This window comes from Homo sapiens, chromosome 13 (assembly GCF_000001405.40).
Source record: "Homo sapiens chromosome 13, GRCh38.p14 Primary Assembly".
Taxonomy (NCBI): domain Eukaryota; kingdom Metazoa; phylum Chordata; class Mammalia; order Primates; family Hominidae; genus Homo; species Homo sapiens.
The window spans coordinates 23367593-23389933 of NC_000013.11; the positions used below are offsets into that span (position 1 = coordinate 23367593).

Here is a 22341-nt window from a genome sequence, read left to right on the forward strand (position 1 = left end):
TATTGTTTGTTTGTTTTTTGAGACGGAGTGTGGCTCCTGCTGCCCAGGCTGGAGTGCAGTGGCGCAATCTCGGCTCACTGCAATCTCTGCCTCCGGGTTCAAGCGATTCTCCTGCCTCAGCCTCCTGAGTAGCTAGGATTACAGGCAGCCACCACCATGCCTGGCTAATTTTTGTACTTTTAATAGAGACGGGGTTTCGCCAAGTTGGCCAGGCTGGTCTCGAACTCCTGACTTGAGGTGATCCACCCGCCTCAGCCTCCCAAAGTGCTGGGATTACAGGCATGAGCCACTGCGCCCAGCCTGTTTTTTAAAGAGTATAATCAAACTAAAAAAACATATTACAAAAAGAAATAAGTAAATAAAATAATTATCCTATTAAATAAACCCTCCCAAAATAGCAAACCTCTAAAATCAGGAGTCCAATGGGCATGCATTCAAGCCTCTAATCGTAGAATGTATTTGGCTGGCCGGTTGGCTGGCTGGCTGGTTGGTTGGTTGGTTGGTTGGTTGGTTGACGTGTAAAGCCCTGCACAATGATCTACAGAGAACATTCCCGGAGCGACACTGCTGATTACAGCACCCAGTAGCTTAGCGCATTTCTTTGCCCCAGAAAACCTCACATATTTATATCAATTCCATTCTCAAATGGAGCTATACACTGCTATACACTGCAGCCACAGAGGTATAATACAGCTATTTGAATCTAGACAACATTTTAAAAATTTAAACACTAATAGGACTTTCAAGTAAATTTACTTCATCTCATTTTTATCAAAGTAAATAACACATGAACACGACATGTGCCCCACCTTAAGAATCTGTCCTCCTTCTGGATATCTTCTCAAAATGTCCTTGAGAAAATCAACAAGTGGTGGCGTTGTCTGACCAAATCGACCTAAAATACGGAGCACATTTTAAGTGAGTTAGAAAAAAAATCCCATGAATTGTCACCAATGTGTGACTTGAATCTGAGACATCATATAACTATACAAGTTATGGTTGCATATATCTCACTGCAGCACCCTGGTACAGAAATCTACCTGACGAAGCAATTCAGCAGAAAGTAAAGCAGATTCAATTGTATCAAATCTCAAGTTGTTTTGTTTTGTTTTGTTTTGTTTTTTGAGACAGAGTCTCGCTCTGTCGCCCAAGCTGAAGTGCAGTCGTGTGATCTCCCCTCACTGCAAGCTCCACCTCCTGGGTTCATGCCATTCTCCTGCCTCAGCCTCCCGAATAGCTGGGACTACAGGTGCCCACCACCATGCCCAGCTAATTTTTTTGTATTTTTAGTAGAGATGGGGTTTCACCATGTTAGCCAGGATGGTCTTGATCTCCTGACCTCGTGATCCGCCCACCTTGGCCTCCCAAAGTGCTGGGATTCCAGGCGTGAGCCACCATGCCTGGCCTCAAGATTTTTAACTGAACTACAAATAAAGTCTCAAAAAATGTTCAAAAATATAATAACTATTAATTCAAAAACAAGAAGCATGGTGCAGTGGGGAGGAGTGTTGATATTTTCCAAAGCAAATAAAATAAATGATGTTATTTTGTGGCTGCTTTGCCATTAAATAACAAGCCAGAGACAGAGGTGCCTATTATCACATTCTTAATATTCTCAAATTCAACCAGTGTTCTGATTGTTCTGAAATTCAGCAGTCACTGTCTCAATGGCTGTCCACTTCAAGTACCTTCAAGCCTTGCCTAAACTAGATATTCTTAGACCAACTGACCAGGTCACCTTCAGACAAGTGACAGGGCTGTAGGAAGAACAAGAAAATGGGAAGTAATGCCTCAAATACACAGCATTTCAAAAATCTGTTTATCAGTATAAAGAAACCTCTGCTTAAAAAAGCAAAATTGTCACTATAAATTTATTTGCGTCATTTTGGTACAACCACATACTGAGACCAAGCTCAAACAAGACTCTGTTTCCACAGACTTCTATCCCACCCATTCTTTTTTTTTTTTTTCAGACGGACTCTCCTTCTATTGCTCAGGCTGGAGTGCAGTGGCGCAATCTCAGCTCACTGCAAGCTCCTTCTCCCAGGTTCACGCCATTCCCCTGCCTCAGCCTCCTGAGTAGCTGGGACTACAGGTGCCCGCCACCATACCCAGCTAATTTTTTGTATTTTTTAGTAGAGATGGGGTTTTACCGTGTTAGCCAGGATGGTCTGGATCTCCTGAGCTTGTGATCCGCCCTCCACAGCCTCCCAAAGTGCTGAGATTACAGGCGTGAGCCACCATGCCCAGCCTATCCCACTCACACTTCTTTTTTTTTTTTTTTGAGACGGAGTCTTGCACTGTCTCCTGGGCTGGAGTGCAATGGAGCGATCTCAGCTCACTGCAACCTCTGCCTTCCAGGTTCAAGCGATTCTTCTGCCTCAGCTTCCCAAGTGGCTGGGAGTACAGGTGCGTGCCACTACACCTGGCTAATTTTTTCTATTTTTAGTAGAGACAGGGTTTCACTGTGTTAGCCAGGATGGTCTTGATCTCCTGACCTCGTGATTCGCCTGCCTTGGCCTCCCAAAGTGCTGGGATTACAAGTGTGGGCCACCACACCCGGCCCCCACTCATTCTTATAACTAGCTCCATCCACGCTTGTCTTCCTCTGGCCCTGATGTCCCCTCACTCTATCCCAATGGGATATGATTTCATTTCATTTTTAAAACATAATCTTTAAAACAGCTTTATTGAGTACAACTCAAATACAAAGCACTGCAGATATTTATTTTGCAACTTGATGCATTTGGAGATAAGTACGTACCATGAAACCATCAAACTATCATTGTCAGTGCCATAAACTTATCCATCATCTCCAAAAGTTTCCTCCCATCTCTTCTGTTGTGCTTTATTAAACTTTTATGGTAAGAGTAATTAATATCAGATCTACCCTACCCACTTAGTAAGTTTTTAAGAATACAACACAGTATTGTTATTCATGGGCCCTGTACTGTATAGAAGATCTCCAGATCTTCTTTATTCATATAGCAAACTTTGTACCTTTGGCCAATGACACCCCATTTCTCCCTGCCCCCACCCTCTGGCAACCACCATTCTACTCCCTGCTTCTTTGTTAAAACTCAATCTCGGCTGGGAGCGGTGGCTCACGCCTGTAATCCGAACACTTTGGGAGGCCAAAGACGGTGGATCACTTGAGGTCAGGAGTTCAAGACCAGCCTGGCCAACATGGTAAAACCCTGTCTATACTAAAAATGTAAAAATTAGCTGGGCGTGATGGCAGGCACCTGTTTTCCCAGCTACTTGGGAGGCTGAGGCACGAGAATCACTTGAACAGAGGCTGAGACACGAGAATCACTTGAACCCAGGAGGCAGAGGTTGTGGTGAGCTGAGATTGTGCCACTGCACTCCAGCCTGGGCGATAGGGCGAGACTCAGTTTCAAAAACCAACCAAACAAACAAACAAAAAAACTCAATCTTTGTGCAACCCAACATGGTATATACTTCTGGTAAAGTCAATATTATACCTCCCCCTTTTAAGCCTTTTGATTGAAGGTTTACAAAAAGATGACAATTTTTGGAAGTCAGATCTCCAATCTTGATCCAGTCAGATAACTGAAAAAAAGCAAAAGAAAATGTATGAAAAGCAATACAGTCTCTAATACTGTAAATTCAAGACATTATCTCAAATTTTTTCACTTAAGTAATGCTTGTTAAGTCTTCTTATCATGAAGGAAGTTGTCTGGAGAAGTGAATATTCCACGGAACACAGATTTAGTCAAAAACTTTATTTAAAAATTTAAGGGACTAAAAGATTTTTCGTTAATTACAAATAGATAAAAATATATATATTTCTCCATTAACATAATTTAAATTTTTAAATGATGAATCGGGATCATTAACATAAACAAAATCATTCTTCTGATCAACATTTCCAAAGTGTATTGCTCATAACAGAGCTCCATGAGACCTCAACACATATTAGAGGACCAAAAAAAATTGTTTTTAAATTAGTTTAGATGAATAATAATATGATTGCATAAAATAAGCTGGCTCTAAGTTGCTACCTACACAATGTTTCTTAAGTTTAAAAACAACTGAATGTAAACAGCATATTGTTTAGGTTACGTATTCAGGCTACACACACAAACATATATGCACATATATACAAACATAACACATATCCATACATACGTAAGTATACACACAAATGCACACATTTATAGAACTATTAAAACTACCAAAAAGGCAAGAGAATAATCAGCACAAAGGGGTAAGGAAAGAGGGACAGGAATACAGGCTGGGGAGAAGATGCACAGAGGTAAGTACTAACACTGTTCTTGTTCTCTGGTTGAATGACATCATCATAAATGATCATTCTATTGTTAAACAATTATTAAAAGAAAGCCCCAGCCTGGGCAACACAGTGAGATCTGTCTCTATTTGAAAAAAATTTTTTTTTAAATTTGTGTACAGTTTAGTTAATTCATTTTTAATTGGTGTATAATAGTCATTAATATGTCACAGAATTTGAGTTGTTTCTAAATTTTTGTTGTGAAGAATGGTCCTCCTGCCGAAGTACCTGTGCAAAGAGTGAACTAGTTTTTATAGGCTTGCTTTAAGGTTTAGTGGGAATACGTGCATGAAAGTATTTATAATCTGGGACCTGTAATAGCATACTCAGTTTTGTGTTCTAGAGATGGAGACTAGCATGAAAATGATGTACAGAAAGTAAGGAGACCAGGACAAATCCCTCATGCATAGAACAGTATCTGTAACACAGCGGCTCAATAAATGATAAGCATATTCTCAACACATTTTACCAAAACACAGAAGGAGCAACGTGCCCAGCATCAGTTACTATCTCCAGCCTGACCTCTCTCCCTTGAGTTTCAGTTCCAGATTTGCAGCTGCCTACTGAACATCACTATCTAGCAGAGACTTTAGAATTGGTTAGAATTAGCTTTATCCCATTCATACTAGAAATAGGAAATCAGTCCCCAATACATGAATTAATTTGGCAACTGTTACATATACACAGGCAGGACAGGAAGTAGGACCTAAGGCACCCACCTCTCCGCTTCCTAGTTTCCTAGATGCTATGCTGCCTTATGTCTCACCAACAGCTGAACTATATATAAAAGCAAACTGGTCATCATACTTCCCCCTCTGTATGTGCTTATCTCTGATGATTACGTCTTTATTTTCTTGGTCTGACTCAAAGCTTGCCAACGTCCTTGGCAAGACCTTCCAACTTATTCTACACCCATCCCCCACATCCACATCCATTTGGTACCAAATTGTGGCAATTTTGACTTTTGCAAAGTCTCTTGTATATCCTTTCCTTTGGTTTCACCTTTACAGCTACAGTCCAGAACCTCATTACCTCATACCAGGACGAAAGGGTCCTACTTAGACCCCTGTCTACCCACACCCCCAATCCCAAACAGTCAACACACCCTGCCACTTTCACCATCCCATATCCATGCTTTGCAGGGACACCCTGCAAAAGCACTTCTAAATGGCAGGGCTAGCCACAACGGAGGCTTTCAGTGTGACCACATCTAGGGGACAAGATGATCAAGTAGAACCAGAGGAGGAACCAAAGAAGTGGGTATAGACCCAGGAGAGGAAGGTTAAGAGATGTCGGCAGGCATAGAGAAAGGAGTAAGAATGACAAACTGCTCCTTCACAAGTCTGCCTAAAGTCCTCAATCAGCCTCTCCAACTGCCACCAAGAGGTCCATTCCTTCCAAAGAAGCTAAGGCTATGCTGGGGTGAGGCCCTCACTTCATCCAGCAACTAGCACCCGGTGCAGCAGCACAAGCCCGGCACTCAAATGCCTCTGTCTCAGCGGTTGTAGACTTCACTAGGCCTTCATTCTACACTACGATGAGGTGTCCATCATGGAGGTTAAGATCAATGCCCTCATTAAAGCAGTCGGGGGGCTGAGCGCAGTGGCTCACGCCTATAATCCCAACACTTTGAGAGGCCGAGGCAGGCGGATCATGAGGTCGAGAGACTGAGACCATCCTGGCCAACATGGTGAACACCGTCCCCCCGCCCCGCGCCGCCTCCCATCTCTACTAAAAATACAAAAATTAGCTGGGCGTGGTGGCACACGCCTGTAGTCCCAGCTACTCGGGAGGCTGAGGCAGGAGAATCGCTTGAACCAGGGAAGCGGAGGTTGCAGTGAGCCGAGTGTTGCAGGCACTCCAGCCTGGCGACAGAGCGAGACTCCGTCTCACAAAAAAAAAAAAAAAAAAGGAAAAAAAGCAGTCGGGGGATATGCTGAACCTTTTTGGCCTGGCTTGTTTGCAGAGGCCCTGGCCAATGTCAACATCAGGAGCCTCCTCTGCAATGTAGGGGCTGGAGGACCTGCTCCAGCGGCTAGGGGTTCATCCACAGGCCAGTCATGCCCCTCCACTGCCGCTGCTCCAGCTGAGCACAAGGAAGTGGACGCAAAGAATCTGACGACTCTGGTGATGACATGGCTTTGGACTTTTTGACCCGACCTGTTTTACAGCATGTTCAGTAAAAAGCTGAACTCTTTAAAAAAGTAAAAATAAATAATAAAGACTTCAATCAAGTCAATGTCTGCATGCCAACGAACACCTTGGGGAACTGATCAGAAGGACTGATGAATCCCCCGAGGAGCATGAAAACAGGTAATAAATGTGTGTCAAGGAGGGCAAAGGACTAGAAAACTGACTCAAGTACACAGAAGGTCAGGATTACACTGAAGCAGGAAAAATCACAGATACCAACTACTTCACCAATAATATTTGTATCGAGTAGTAAGGAAATTCAACACCTGAAATGTCATCCTATACGCTCAAGTATTCCTTGTATTATCTGTTCAACTCTTTGTGACTCTTTTAAATGCTGGAAATGATGTTATCACATGAAGATGTTTATTAGAAAAAAAGAAATGTTTTAAAAGAGTTAACTGTCAGTAAAATGTCTTCAACTGAACTCTCCCTTTAAGAAAGCTATAGAATTTTAACCAATCTTAAAGAATACATAACAATATTCTTGTTTTCCAAAATTTTCTGACCTATCAAGTCAACCTATCACTTGAACTTTAAAAGTTTTAGTATGTTTACTCCCCAAGATAACAGGTTCTATATTAAATTATGTCTAAAGATTCTTTCAGTGCCAAATTTCTGTATCAAAAATGGAGAAAAAACTTCCAATATATCAAAGGTGAAGATATTTACCAACATTCTACTTAAACTTATTACATAAATAGAAATAAATGAGTAATGATTAAATCACTTCATTGATGATGTCTAAAAAAAAAACTTCTGACTCCAATGTCCACCAAAAAAAATCTCTGAATTTCAGAAAGTGAAGATTCAGATGAAATGATGGGTGGGGTTCGGGGTGGGGGATGCAAACGGAAAAGGCAAGTGATGAAAAGCCACAACTCAGGACAAGCACAGGCGGCCACGCTGCCGGAGTCATTCGCGCCGCCCGCGGAAACCTGCGTCGCCCACCCCGGGCCCTCGACGCCCGCCGTTCCTCCGCGTGGCGGAGCCCAGCCCAGCGCCCCCGGCCACCGCCTACCTCGCGGCCGCCGCGCCACAGCCGCTGCTCCGACACCGGGAAGCCAGTCTCCGCGAAGATACGTTCCTTCACATCGCGCACGGTCCAGGACGCCAGCGCCGCGACGGTCCTGCAGCCCACGCAGCCGGGGAGCACGGTCACCGGGACCCACCTGTGGAAAGCAGAGGGACGCTCAGTCGGGCTGCGGCTGCCACCCGCCCGCCCAGCGCCCGCGCGGCCTCCACCCGCGTTACCTCTCCCACATCGCGGCGCGGCAGGCGCCCCTAGCGCCCGCCCCTGACGCCGGCGCCCGATCACGGCCGGCCCTACCGCGTCCACAGGCCCCGCGCGGGCCGGGAGGGCGGGATCCGCATGGCGCAGTCCCGTACGCAGCAGCCCGCGCCGAGGAGGAAACGCTAGAGGAAGCCGCGGCGGCCGAGGAGCAGGCGGGGGCGGGGACTGCGCGCTCCCGGCCCACTCCCGGCCCTGCAGGCGCCGCCCGCGGGGACACGCCCACCCGCCGGGACCGTTAGCTGGGGATCCGCCCCGCCCCTCCCGCCAGGCCCCGCCCCCAGGGAACGCCCATCCAGGCCCCGCCCAGTCAAGTTCTGTCTTGCCCAATCCGGACAGTTAGCGAAGGAGCCGCCCCGCCCCACTCGCCCACCAGGCTCCGCCTGCCAGGCCCCGCCCCGCCTGCAGAGGCGCCTCTGCCAGAAGGCAAACCCAATAAGGGTATACAGAGCGTACAGCTAGAGGACAGGTGCGTTGTCCCTTTTAGAGCTCAACAGTGCATTGAAATGCAGAACTAGGCATTTCTAGGGCCTGTGTCTCCTTGAACTCTAATGACTTTCATTCCATGGAAGCATCTCCAGTAAGATCTATAGTGGCCTCCGAGAAGGGAACGTGCTGGTTACAGAACACAAGTGTCTTCCACGGTTTCGTTCTGTGCTCGGTTTTTGAGGCACAGAAGTAGGATCAGTGGCTCAGTTTGCTGGAGGAAAGAGAGCCAGCAGCAAAGTAAGATCAGAATGCACATAAATGTATCCTATGACACGTTAAAAATATTTGTAACTTATTTTGGCAATATTATATTGTTGGTAGCCTGAATGTCTTCCCATCACAACCGCAAGCTCCTTGAAAGCAGGAACATGAGTCTTAAGAGTTGATGAAATCGCCCCACGATAAGTAAAGTTGCCATGTAATTTGAAAGTGTGTGGGGCTTAGAGGCTTGGGGGAACCTCAGGCTGTTCCTTTGGCTTATTTCTCTTAGGTATATATGATACACATTGCAAAAAAAAAAAGTGACATCTATTAAGGCAATTCAAAGGCTACATCATGAACAAGTAAACTTGTGTGCTCCTTATTTTAAATACCTTGAATGGAACAGAATTAAATTTTAGAGTTGCCCCAAAAAATAGATAATAAATTGCCATTTCTCCCTTCCCCCCAAAAAAAATTATTACTCAGAACTCATCATCAGTAGTAAATACAGAGAATGTTCTACAGCTGTTCCATCTCTCTTACCACAGTTAAAAAGGGAATGATAGAAGTCATGCATGCCTCTTCCTACTTGGGAGAGGTAAGTAAGTATGCTCCATCAATTGGAGGAGAATATGGTGATTCAGTATAAAGACAAGGCCAGAAAGCCCTAAGGGCCAAATATGTACTTCTTGGCTGGGTGCAGTGACTCACATCTGTAATCCCAGCGCTTTGGGAGGCCAAGACGGGTGGATTACTTGAGGTCAGGAGTTCGAGACCAGCCTGGCCAACATGGTGAAACCCTGTCTCTACTAAAAATACAAAAATAAGCTGGGTGTGGTGGCACACACCTGGTTTTCTTGTTGGAAAAACTATAAACTCATCATAGAATTTGATGGAGTAGTGAATCATCCTACAATATGGGTGACCCTTGCAGACATTCTGCTAAGTGAAAGAAGCCAGTCACTGAAGACCACATGTTGTATGATTCCATTTATATGACACGTCCAGAATTGGCAAACCCATAGACAGAAAGTAGATTAGTGGGGCTGTGGGGGGAGGGAACGAGGAGGCAGTGCTAATGGGTGTGGGGTTTCTTTGGGGATGGTGGAAATGTTCTGGAATTAGTAGTGCAATGTGCACAATTTTTTGAACATCCTTAAAACCAGGTGAATTGTACACTTTAAAATGGCAAATTTTATGGTATGTGAGTTATACCTGAAAAAAATTCACAATGTAGCTGATGTGAATGCAAAGGCTTTTCCTGGACCACCTCTGGGAACAAAACCATTTGAATGAAAACATGGAATGAAAAACCTCGGTTTTTCCGTGGAGCCTGGTGGTTGGTTTGTTCATTTTACTCTCTTCCTACAATGTACTCAGTCCACTACCAGAGTGGTCAGAACAGACATCTTTGCTCCCAAATAGATACATCAGCAGGATAAAATAAAATCTTCTTATCCTGTCCATGCCCTCCATCCAGTGCCCTCCACTTGACTTTCCTACCCACCACATTTCCTGCCAGGCTCCAGCACATCACATTCGCTCTCGGAGCTCTCCTGTGTGGCCTGTGCATATGTGTTCCTTCCTTCCCCGGTACCCACTCCTCCTTCAGATTCAACCTCAGCCCCAGCATCTGTGGTGGGAGTGACAGATACTTCAAGAGGCATTAGTGCTGCGAGACTCCCGTCCAACGCCTGGCCCACTCCTCCTGGCCTTGTCTCCTTCTGAGCCAGGAGTGAACCCAGCACAGGGCTCCTGGATTCCAGCTCCAACATCCCTGCCTGGCACAGAGTAGTCCCAAGAGTAGATCCTCCGTGGGATATCCCAGTGGTCCAGATGGAATTTATTGGACAGGCCAGATTCAATTACCATGTGCCAGAAAAATGACAAAACTTTTCTTCTCTTTGTGCTCAGGTAGACACAATTGCTTCGCTTTTATTTTTAGCGACATTAAACATGCTTTGGGAAATGAGGTCATGTTTCTGAGTTAGCATTCCTGCCTTTTCTCCTTCCAAAGAGGGCATTACAAATTCCCTAGAGTGCTGTACAAAATAGGAGAAAACAGGATTGTACAGATTTTACATGGTGCTTTTGAGTCTACTGGTCATTTTAATGAGAGTTTGTTGTTTGGTTGCCAGAAATCCTGGGTTATTCAAAGACAGCTTTGCCAAAGAAAATTAACCAGTGAGGGCTGGAAATACAGTCACGCTTACATAAGTCAGTGAGTAATGCGAGAGGACTTAGCATTAGAAAGGAAAAACGTGACTCAGGCCCCCGGATAGTGGAGGGACACATCTTGAGCTGCACCCACCATTTCAAGGAATATTAAAACCACATGAGGTTTTTCAGTTCCTCTTACGTCGATCACCACCTTTGATTAAACATCCTCTCTTGCAAATTTTTTTTTTCTTTTTTGAGACAGAGTCTCGCTCTGTCGCCCAGGCCTCTGCATCCTGGGTTCAAGCAATTCTTGTGTCCCAGCCTCCCGAGCAGCTGGGATTACAGGTGAGCACTACCATGCTTGGCTAATTTTTGTATTTTTAGTAGAGACAGGGTTTCGCCATGTTGGCCAGGCTGGTCTTGAACTCCTGACCACAGGTGTTTCCGCCCACCTCAGCCTCCCAAAGTGCTAGAATTACAGGGGTGAGCCACCACGCCTGGCTCTTGCAACATTTTATAGAAAATATGGAAAGAGAGTGAGCTGGCTATAGCAGCATGTAGATTAAACTGAATGCATGCTAATAATTAGTGTATTTTAACAGAAGCTCAGCTCTAGATACAATAGTAGGAAACTTATCATATAAACTTGTGAAACACTCCATCATAAAACTGAATACACTGAAAAAAGGAAATAATATAAAAAGGGAATAGAGTAAAAAATGCCAAAATACACTCTGATGCACTTGTTCCTTTTTTCTGTCTTCCAACTCTTGCTACTCTTCCAGTCAGTTAATATCCCTTCTGCTTTTCCTTTATTTTTCTGAGTTGTTCCTGATGTTCTGCCCCTCTCCCTCCTCTACCAGGCTCCCTGGTAGTGAATCGAGGGTGTGACCCCAGCTCTCGCGCCTGCTGCTGGGAAAGCGTGGACAGGTCACAGCTCTAAACTCTCTTTCTCACCTGTACAGCTGGACATGGTGCCACCTTCCTCCCAGGCTTATTGTGAGGTGGCAGGAGGCACTGACCTGGGAGGTGTTCCTCTCCTGTTCATTCACGTCATAAAATGTGAAGCACCTACTCAGTGCCAGGCACTGGTGTCCCGACAAAGAAGCCTGGTGCCTGTGCTCGGGGACTGCTCACCTCATGGCACAGCAGCCAGGCAGGAATTACATGAGGGTGGGCTCCTCACGCTCCCCTCACTCTGGGCCTCTTACTCTTCCTCTCCCTCTCCTTCTGCACTGGCATCTGAACACTCAAGGCCAGTGCTGGAAAATACAGGGAGCAGGCAAAGGGATTCTTGAGCGCCTCAAATCTCTTCACCTCAACCTCACCTCCCTCTCCTATGTGCCCTACTCTTTTCTCCACCCTGTCCCCAATTCTGTGGTGTTGAGTAAACGTTAACTGTGCACACTGCTTGTGGGACAGACCCTCTGTGGGGTGCTGGGAAATTGAAGATAATGGGAATAACAGCAACACCTCTGCTTGTAAGGAGATTGAAGAATAGGATGATACACAAACATAAATATAATTTCAACATAAAAGTGAGAGTCCTAAAGTCAAGGAAACCTATCTAAGACATTAGTTGCTGCCAACTGCCCAGATATTGTCTTCTATGAACAGGGCTTCCCTGGGCTACCACCATGGCTTTATGCCCCAGGCAGGACAGACACTGCCTTCCTGCTTGGTCTTATACCTGGAATGAAATCTCTTTTTTTCTTTTCTTCCCTCATTGTTTTTATCCCCAAGCACATTCCAGAGCTCAGCTCCCAGCCTGATCTACCTGTCACATGACATCGTTGATTCTTCCCATTTGGGCCACACTATTTCCTCAACATCCTTCCTGCTCTTGAGGAAGGTCTCACCCCACAGTGGCCCTGGGATTCCCTCGTGTGTGTGTGTGTGTGTGTGTGTGTGAGAGAGAGAGAGAGAGAGAGAAAGAGAGGGAGAGTGTGTTTACAAAGAGAACTGACTTCCCCCACCTCTTTAGAAAGGATGATGCTGACTGGGCAGCTGTCAGCAGCACTTACCATTCTCACCGGCCTTGGTAGCGCCCTCTGAGCACTGCTTGCTTCTTTGCACAGGAAGGAAACCAAAGGGCTTTCTTCACAACCAATACCTAATACCTCTTCCAAGTTTATCTGTATTTTAACAAAGGATTTTAATTTCTGTATGGGGCGCTGGGTTCCTATTTTGGAAAAGTCAGTCCTGCAACTGTCTCTGAAATAATAGCCACAAAATCATTCATTTTAAGCTCCAATTGGGAGGGTGAGAAACTCGAAACCAAGCCTAATAATAATAACAACAATAATAATAATAAAGCTGTCACTAGTTGAGCACTTAGTAGGCATCAAACACTTCTTCATCTTAAATGCTTTGCAAACACTATCTTATTTAATCTTCACTAAAATCCTATGAGGCATTATTGTTTCTACTTTACACATGATGAAAGACAGAGTCAGGAACGTTGTAATTGCCCAAGACCACACACAGGGCCATGACCTAACTGTGCTCTGAACAAGCTGAAAGCCTTTAATCACTGTACATATCCCCATATGCAGCAGTTATTGACGTAACAGAGAGATTTACCCTGAAGAAAAGATGACCCGAGGGGACATGCTATACTCTTCAAATAGGAGAGTGGCTTTCATCCGTAAAAGTTTCTGTGGCGCCAGAGATGGACAAATTTGGGGTTCATTATTTAAAAAATTCAATAGTTGGAACAGTACTCATTTTAACTCATTTATCACCAAATAGGTGTAGAACCCGTCACATCCACACTAGTACAGTCAATTCCCAGATAAACCTGAAAATGAGACATTATCATCCACCATCATAAATCACGACGCAGGACCCAAAGATGGTTTGTAATTTGTCTAAAGTTCTTTGCAAATGCAAGTGTCAGGATTGGAACCCAGGGCTCCACTTGATTTTCCCTAAGCTGTGCTGCCTGCAGCTTTGGAGTAAAGGGACTGAAATCAACCCTTTGCTTGAGATTCTAAAGATCATGCGCAGTGCTCATCAGGGCCCAGTGTCCTGAGGTCTCTCTTCAGGCCTGTCACTGTCTTGTGCTCTCCAGCGCATGGCAATATCACAGTCTGGCTGGACATGGGCAGCACGAAGCACACACACACACACACACACACACACACACACACACACAGGCAAACACTCTGGCTGGACGTGGGCAGCATGAAGCGCGCGCACACACACACACAGGCAAACACTCCTACTAGCCTGCACAGGATCAATACACAAGCATGAATTATAGAATAGAGATATATACCTTCAGCAAAAAGGGTGTGATCTTACACTTTCTACTTCTTTTCAGTTACTGACAGTCACTTGAGTTCTGCCCTTTATTTTGTTTTGAGGTGCTGTCTCAGATAGAATCCCTAGACGTTGATTTGATTAAACTAACATCCTCTGGTCAGAAGTAATTGAGAAACATGAGTTTATTTATAAAAAACAAATGGGAACTATTTGTTTTTATCATATTGTATTTTTACTATTTCTTGCTTACATTCATTAAAGGTTTTTTAAAATAAAAACAAGTTTTTAAATCCCATTTCTAAATATTTGGAGTTAGGGTGATATTGTCAATGAACAGTTCAATGGGTTATCATTACTTTATTGCTGTGCAGAGCCTTTGCCACAGTAACTTGGAAAAATGAATCATAGAAACTCCATCCACAAAATTACAGATTTTTGCATTTGTGAAGACTAACACCCAATTTATTTTCTTTGCCTATTATTAAAAGAGGAGCATGCTACAGTCTTCCTCATACAGAAAAGATTATAAACGGCTGCACACATTTGCTGTTCTGTAGAACAATTATAGTAGTTGGCAGGCATCCACCACTGGAGGGGACACAAAGAAAACGCCAGTTAGAAATAGGTCAGCGGAGGTTTTTTTGCTTTTTGTTTTTTGTTTTTTTTGAGACGGAGTCTCGCTTTGTTGCCCAGGCTGGAGTGCAGTGGTGTGATCTCGGCTCACTGCAACCTCTGCCTCCCAGGCTCAAACAGTTCTCCTACCTTAGCCTCCCGGGTAGCTGGGATTACAGGCACCCAACACCATGCCTGGCTAATTTTTTGTAGGTCAGGGGAGATTTTGAAGGAAAATTAGGAATGGATCCATAAAAAGCAAAATGGATTTTATATGATTACAATTGAATTGAAGCTTCATCTGTTAAAATCTTACATTTTGCTCATTTCCCAAACCATTTCAAATGTTCTCTTGATAGAGATGCATTGGATATATTAAATAGTTATAAAATGAAAAAAAGTTTATTTACTCATTAATTATAAAAATGGATGTTTCTGAATCATCAAAAATGAATTTTTTAATCGGGGAAGCAAATAATAATATTCAAATGTATATTTGAACTCAACGAATCCTAAATCTAAACAAATCATGATTGTTCACTATTTCTATAATCTTTATAACTATAATGGCTAAGTAATTTACATAAAGAACTCAAAAATTTGAAAACCATTTAGGGCAGAGAGACATATTCTTTGTGTTTTGTTTTGTTTTGTGTGTGTGTGTGGTTTTTGTTTTTTTTTTTGAGATAGAGTCTAGCTCTGCTGCCAGGCTGGAGTGCAGTAGTGTGATCATGGCTCACTGCAGCCTCAAACTCCTGGGCTGAAGAGATCTTCCCACCTCAGTCTCCTGGGTAGCTGGGACTATAGGACTACAGGCATGTACCACCATGCCCAGCTAATTTTTTTTTTTTTTTTTTTTTTTGGTAGAGACGAGGTCTCACCATGTCGCCCAGGCTGGATAGAAAACATATTTTTAAATTCATTGGTAATTAAAACTGTGATGTGTATGTTTGGGTTTTAAGCCTTTGTCACTTTTTCAGTTTTCTGAATATTTTCCAATTTTGGTTTAAATAATCTGAAAATATTATAGCTACAAAATTAATATTGCAAGTAATAAACGGTGGTCATTCTCAGAAAACCCTCCACTGACACATCCAATCAGCCACCATGTCGAAGTGTTTGACCACGATAAATATCGTTTGGCTTCATTGCCACCTCCTGTTGGTATTGGCACAGCTCTCTCCTGTCCCTTACTCAGGCCACCACTCAGGGCCCCAGCTGTTCTCACTGCCCCACATCCTTTCTCCTCCAATCAACCCTTCATATTACCATCAAGTTATTGTATAATCGAGTGTGACTAAATCCCTCCCCAGCATCAAGATATTTTTAGTAGTTCAAGTTACCTGCATCGTAATGTCCAAATGTTTCCCAGCCTTGTCTCCATCCCTCCTTCCTGAACAGCCCCAGAGCTCTGCAGGCCTGTTCATGCCTTTGTACTGCTTTTTTTGCACCTTTCTCAGCCCATTCTGTTTCCTCCTGCAGCATCTGGCTCCTCCCTCCATGTTCAATTTTGATGGCCCACCCTTGATAGCCCCATTCAAATGTCACTTCAAAATTGTCTCTCTCCCCCCAACACTGTTTAAGGAAAAACGGCAATAAGTCCAGGACAAACGACGCTTATGTCTCCTTTCTTACTCTCTCTGAATACTTTGTATATCCACCCATCCCAGCTCTTTCCATATTACACAAACCACATATTTACTTGCTAAGTCCCCCTCTGGAGACATTCAAGAGCAGAAAACATGCCTCCATATCCCTTGTTCACACCATCACCCTCTCCCCAACCCCAGTGCCTGGCACAGAACCCAGCAAATGTGTGCACAAATCAGGATGGAGATCAGTAAGAAGGGTCATCGCAAGGTCTTTCTGGGGAGGGTTGGTTAAAAAGCTAGAACTTCAGCCTTAAATCATGTAATGGAAGAATACTGATCTCATACTTAAGTGGTTAAGTGCATGAATGGGGTATTAGAAACACTCCTTCACATTTCAGGAGGTAGCAATAAAAGACATCAGAGATGGGAAGACTCAAATAACATTACTGATTTTCCACCCATCAATCAGTGCTCAGGCAGAAGAGCAGAAGGCTTTCTCTAGCCAAGCCCGTGCAAGGTGACTTCCGCCTTCGTAGACATCTTCAGCATTTAACTTCCACTCATCAGTGACTGCACAGGAATGAAATGCATTTACTCATCAACTATGGAAAGTCCCTCTTGATCATGGCCTCTTGTATGTCACTCTGTGTTCCACATCATTCACTGCCAAATAAGCGAATGTAGTGATGTTCACATGTGTGGCTTGTCATGACCACTCACTATAACCACTTACCATCTCTGTACAAATTTAAATTAGGGGAAGAAAAGGAAGTCCTTCTTAACTTTTCTGTTTTGTGTTCATTTCTTTAATAATTCTCTTATTGGACAGATATTAATAAACTAGTTATTAGAGAAAGTTGTGAGTTGATTTATCCTTTCACAGCAAACTCCAAAACAATTTTTCAAAGCCTAAGGAAGAGATGCACCCATTCACTTTATATTAGTTTGGGAGATGTAATGGTGAAAAAAACAGGGCCCAAGGGGAGTTGGGATTCAGACTGTGGAGGACCAGAGAATGAAGGAATCATTGGCATTCATGCAGGATCTAAAACTTTTTCATTTTTTGGGCCAAAATTTCATTTTTTTGGCACAGGAATACCTCAGAGATATTGAAGATTTGGTTCCAAACCAGTGCAATATAATGAATATCACAATAAAATAAGTCACATAATATTTTGTTTTCCCGGTGCAGATAAAAGTTATGTTTATACACTATACTATAGTCTATTAAGTGTGAAATAGCATTATGTCTTTAAAAATGTACATTCCTGGCCGGGCATGGTGGCTCACGCCTGTAATCCCAGGACTTTGGGAGGCCGAGGTAGGCAGATCACGAGGTCAGGAGATCGAGAACATCCTGGCTAACACGGTGAAACGCCATCTCTACTAAAAATACAAATACAGCCTGGGCGACAGAGGGAGACTCTGTCTCAAAAAAAAAAAAAAGTTTTATCATGAGATTGCCCCAACTCAGTCACATCATCAGGCTCCACTGCTAATTCTAGTTCTTGCTGTTTCCATCACTTCTGTAGTTACTTCCTCCAATGAAATCTTGAACTCCTCAAAGTCATCCACAAGGGTTGGAATCAACTTCTTCCAAACTCCTGTTAATGTTGATATTTTGACCTTCTCCCATGAATCATGGATGTTCTTTTTTTTTTTTTTTTGAGATAGAGTTTTGCTCTTGTTGCCCAGGCTGGAGTGCAAGGGTGTGATCCTGGCTCACTGCAACTTCCGCTTCCTGGGTTCAAGCGATTCTCCTGCCTCAGCCTCCCAAGTAGCTGGGATTACAAGCATGTGCCACCATGCCCGGTAATTTTGTATTTTTAGTAGTGATGAGGTTTCATCATGTTGGTTAGGCTGGTCTCGAATTCCTGACTTCAGCTGATCCACCCGCCTCGGCCACCCAAAGTGCTAGGACTACAGGCATGAGCCACAGCACCTGGCCAATCATGGATGTTCTTAATGGAATCTAGAATGGTGAATCCTTTCCAGGAACTTTTCAATTCATTTTGCCCAGATCCGTCAGAGGAATCACTATCTATGGCAGCTATAGCCTCATAAAATGTATTTCTTAAATAATAAGACTTGAAAGTCAAAATTATTCCTTGATCTGTGGGCTGCAGAATGGATGCTGTGTTAGCAGGCAGGAAACGATATTCATCGCCTTGTACTTCTCCATCAGAGCTCTTGGGCGACCAGGTGCAATGTCAATAAGCAGTAATATTTTGAAAGGAATCTTTCTTTCTGAACAGTTGGTCTCAACAGTGGGCTTAAAATATTCCGTAAACCATGCTGTAAATGGATGTGCTGTCGGCCAGGCTTTGTTGTTCCATTTATAGAGCACATGCAGAGTAGATATAGCATAATGCTTAAGCGCCCTAGGATCCTTGGAATGGTAAATGAACTTGGCTTCAACTTAGTCACCAGCTGCATTAGCCCCTAACAAGAGTCAACTTGTCCTTTGAAGCTAGGCATTTATTTTTCCTCTATAGCTATGAAAGTCCTAGATGGCATCTTCTTCCACCAGAAGACTGTTTCATCTACATTGAAAATCTGTTGCTTAGTGTAGTCACCTTCATCAGTTATGTTAGCTACATCTTCTGGAGAACTTGCTGAAGTTTCCCCATCAGCACATGCTGCTTCACCTTGCACTTTTATGTTATAAAGATGGCTTTATTCCTTAAACCTCATGAACCAACCTCTGGTAGCTTCAAATTCTTCTGCAGCTTCCTCACCTTTCTCAGCTTTCACAGATTTGGAGAGAGTTAGACCTTTGTTTGGGTTAGGCTTTGGCTTAAGGGGATGTTATGGCTGGTTTGATCTTCTATCCAGACCACTCAAATTGATTCCTAATCAGTAATAAGGCTGTTTTGCTTTCTTATAGTTTCTGTATTCACTGGAATAGCACTATTTAATTTCCTTCAAAAACACTTCCTTTGCATTCACAACTTGACTGTTTGTCACAAGAGGCCTGGCTTTCCTGTCTTGGCTTTCAACCTGCCTTCCTCACTAAGCTTAGTCATTTCTAGCTTTTGATTTCAGGTGAGAGACTTGCAACTCTTCCTTTCACTTGAAGAGTTAGAGGCCATTATAGGGTTACTAGTTGGCCTAATTTCAATACTGTTGTGTCTTAGGGAAAAGAGAGGCTGGAGGAGAGGGAGAGAGGCAAGAACAGCCTGTTGGTAGAGCAGTGAGAGAACATACCGTTTATCGATTAAGTTTACTGTCTTATTTGGGCACAGTTCGTGGCACCCCAAAACAATTACAATAGTGACACCATAGATTAGTAATCACAGATCACCAAAGCAGATATAATAACAATGAAAATGTTTAAAATATTATGAGAATTTCCAAAATGCGACACAGAGACACGCTAACGGAGCACTTGCTGTTGGGAAAATGGTGCCAACAGACTTGCTGGATGCAGGACTGCTGCAAACCTTCGATTTGTTAAAAACGAATGTCGGCCGGGCGCGGTGGCTCACGCCTGTAATCCCAGCACTTTGGGAGGCCGAGGAAGGCAGATCACGAGGTCAGGAGATCAAGACCATCCTGGCTAACACAGTGAAACCCAGTCTCTACTAAAAAACACAAAAAAAATTAGCCGGGCATGGCGGCGGGCAACTGTAGTCCCAGCTACTCAGGAGGCTGAAGCAGGAGAATGGCGTGAACCCGGGAGGCGGAGCTTGCAGTGAGCAGAGATCGTGCCACTGCACTCCAGCCTGGGCGACAGAGCAAGACTCCGTCTCAGAAAAAAAAAAAAAAAAAAAAAAAGTCTGTGAATGAAATAAGGTATTCCTGGACTTGCCATTCTAAGGGCTTCACTTTCACTACGAAGCTGGAAGACCCTGTAGAGATAAGCTGGTCCCCTGGTCACCCTGACCGTTTCTTTTTGGTCCTCATAGACGGCTGGTTTTTAAACCATTTATCTGGGAAGTTGCCATTCACCTGTGTAGGGTGGTGGTTTGAGTTCAGGTGATGCAGCTTCTGTGATATCAGGAGTTTACCCAATGGACAGCATGGTGCAGAGAATTCAGTTCCTTAGCAGGAACTTGCAACTTAATCTGTCCCTTAAACTTTTTTATTACAACATGATCTATGGATCCAGAGAATATGGCGGTGAGGTACTATTAAGTAATAATGTGTGTAATCATCAGAGAAATGCATATTAAAACCACAATGAGACACCACTGTACCCCAGCCAGAAAGGCCATTATTAAAATGTCAAAAAACAATAGATGTTGGCATGTATGCGGTGAAAAGGAACACTTACACACTGCTGATGGGAATGTAAATTAGTACAACCTCTACGGAAAACAGTATGGAGATTCTTTAAAGAACTAAAAGTAGATCTGCCATTCAATCCAGCAATCCTGCTACGGGGTATCCACCCAAAAGAAGAGACGTCATTATATCAAAAAGACACCTGCACACATATGTTTATCACAGCACAATTCACAATTGCAAAGATATGGGCCGGGAGCGGTGGCTCACACCTGTAATCCCAGCACTTTGGGAGGCTGAGGCAGGAGAATGTCGTGAACCGGGCAGGCGGAGTTTGCAGTGAGCCGAGATTGCGCCACTGCACTCCAGCGTGGGTGACAGAGCGAGACTTTGTCTCAAAAAAAAAAAAAAAAGAAAAAACAAAAGATATGGAACCAATCGAAGTCCCCATCAACCAATGAGTGGATTTAAAAAATGGTGTGTGTGTATATATATATATATGGTACATATAATATAAAATATATATAAAATATAAAAATATGGTGTGTGTGTATATATATATATATATATATACACACACATACCACAGGCTACTACTCAGCCATTAAAAAAACAAACAAATAAAATAATGTCTTTTGCAGCAAATTTGGATGGAACTGGAGGTCATTAATTCAAAGCGAAGTAACTCAGGAGTGGAAAACCAAATATAGCATGTTCTCACTTATAAGTAGGAGCTAAGCCATGGGTACACAAAAGCATACAGAGTGGTACAGTGGACACTGGAGACTCAGAAGCAGGGAGGGTGGGAGGGGGTTGAGGGATAAAAAACTACATATTGGGTATAACGTGCGCTACTCAGGTGATGAGTGCACTAAAATTTCAGACTTCACCACTACACAGTTTATCCAAGTAACCAAAAACCACTTGTATCCCTAAAACTATTAAAAATAAATAAATAAATTTAATATAGTATTTCAGGGTGATAAAATACCAAAGAATCAGAAACCAAAAGAAAGTATCATTTGCAAATACCAAATTTTAATCCATGTATTCAAAAAATACATAACATGAGTTTTCTATGGACAAGGCATGGAGCTGAATGTCTTACATTCTTTATATATTTATTAATAAGATTTTAAATGGAAACTTGTATGTGTCAATTACCAAAGACACACCCATCTGTTAATTACTCCTTAGTACCCTCTACCATTTAGCTAAAACATATATGTGTGTGTATATATATATGTGTGTATGTGTGTGTGTGTATATAGCCTGTGTATATATATAGCCTGTGTCTTTAAGTTACAGGAAGGCTTTAAATAGTTACTGTGCTCCTGAAATGATGTGAAAGGTTACAGCTTTATTAAGTTGCCCAATACTTATTAATGCAATTTTAGAGTTGGTTTTATAACTAGGAACTGAATGTCTACTAATCAGCATGACTACAAAATAAAATTCAGAATTGTAAAAAAATATATATATATTAGTAACATGTGGATATAAAGATGATTTATTTCTGCCCACTGACCAGGGTCACTGGAAAAGGCAAACACTTAGAAAGTCGTCTTTACATCCACGTTACTAATTTTACTTAATATGGTATCTGCAAAGTACATGTGCTCTACTTGCCAAACTTCAACCTCCGAATTTAGAAAGATCTTATTCTGTGTCTCAGCTGAAAGTCTGAGCTAAGCTTTCTCTAATTTAAAAAAAGGACGGAATACGTGTACAAGGGATACGTAGTACATGATTCTCTTTGAAGGACACATTTGCTTCCATCCTCTATGCAGATAAAAGAACAAATTACAATGTCTAAAATCTGTTCTTTTTGTATTCTGCATTTAGCCATCATTTTCTTCTACTGTGAGAAGGATCAGTTCTACTCTTTCTGCTTTTTGCTTCTTTTTGCAGGGAGTTGGGGGATGGACAAGGGAGCATTTTAATTTTACATCAAAATGTCAAGTTATTTGGCTGCATCTACATATGCCAGAAGTCAC

At 43.1% G+C, this 22341-nt stretch overlaps 1 protein-coding gene and 1 pseudogene across 16 annotated transcripts in view, besides 5 other annotated features; one reads left to right on the top strand and one right to left on the bottom strand.

Moving 5' to 3' along the window:
* Positions 1–22341, bottom strand: part of SACS (sacsin molecular chaperone) — a 104873-nt gene that overhangs the window by 38763 nt on the left and 43769 nt on the right. For 8 of the 16 annotated variants that reach the window (XM_047430261.1, XM_047430257.1, NM_014363.6 and 5 more), the window contains exons 3-5: positions 7527–7677; positions 3486–3573; positions 810–895 (exon numbers count right to left, since the gene is read on the bottom strand). In XM_047430261.1, coding sequence (XP_047286217.1) covers positions 810–895; positions 3486–3573; positions 7527–7677 — 325 coding nt within the window. Of the gene's footprint in view, positions 1–809; positions 896–3485; positions 3574–7526; positions 7678–7759; positions 7917–22341 lie in introns of those variants that run through there. The other 8 variants (XM_047430263.1, XM_047430260.1, XM_017020539.2 and 5 more) reach the window with 3 other exon arrangements.
* RPLP1P13 (ribosomal protein lateral stalk subunit P1 pseudogene 13) lies at positions 5831–6424 on the top strand (annotated as a pseudogene).
* Positions 7386–7455: a silencer, noted in NCBI's record as "silent region_5171". NCBI's record gives its function as "represses an Ori minimal core promoter by ATAC-STARR-seq in GM12878 lymphoblastoid cells {active_cell/tissue: GM12878}" and the evidence as "EXISTENCE:reporter gene assay evidence [ECO:0000049][PMID:35858748]".
* Positions 7496–8305: a silencer, noted in NCBI's record as "silent region_5172". NCBI's record gives its function as "represses an Ori minimal core promoter by ATAC-STARR-seq in GM12878 lymphoblastoid cells {active_cell/tissue: GM12878}" and the evidence as "EXISTENCE:reporter gene assay evidence [ECO:0000049][PMID:35858748]".
* Positions 10878–11017: an enhancer, noted in NCBI's record as "active region_7452". NCBI's record gives its function as "activates an Ori minimal core promoter by ATAC-STARR-seq in GM12878 lymphoblastoid cells {active_cell/tissue: GM12878}" and the evidence as "EXISTENCE:reporter gene assay evidence [ECO:0000049][PMID:35858748]".
* Positions 16518–16577: an enhancer, noted in NCBI's record as "active region_7453". NCBI's record gives its function as "activates an Ori minimal core promoter by ATAC-STARR-seq in GM12878 lymphoblastoid cells {active_cell/tissue: GM12878}" and the evidence as "EXISTENCE:reporter gene assay evidence [ECO:0000049][PMID:35858748]".
* Positions 16598–16827: an enhancer, noted in NCBI's record as "active region_7454". NCBI's record gives its function as "activates an Ori minimal core promoter by ATAC-STARR-seq in GM12878 lymphoblastoid cells {active_cell/tissue: GM12878}" and the evidence as "EXISTENCE:reporter gene assay evidence [ECO:0000049][PMID:35858748]".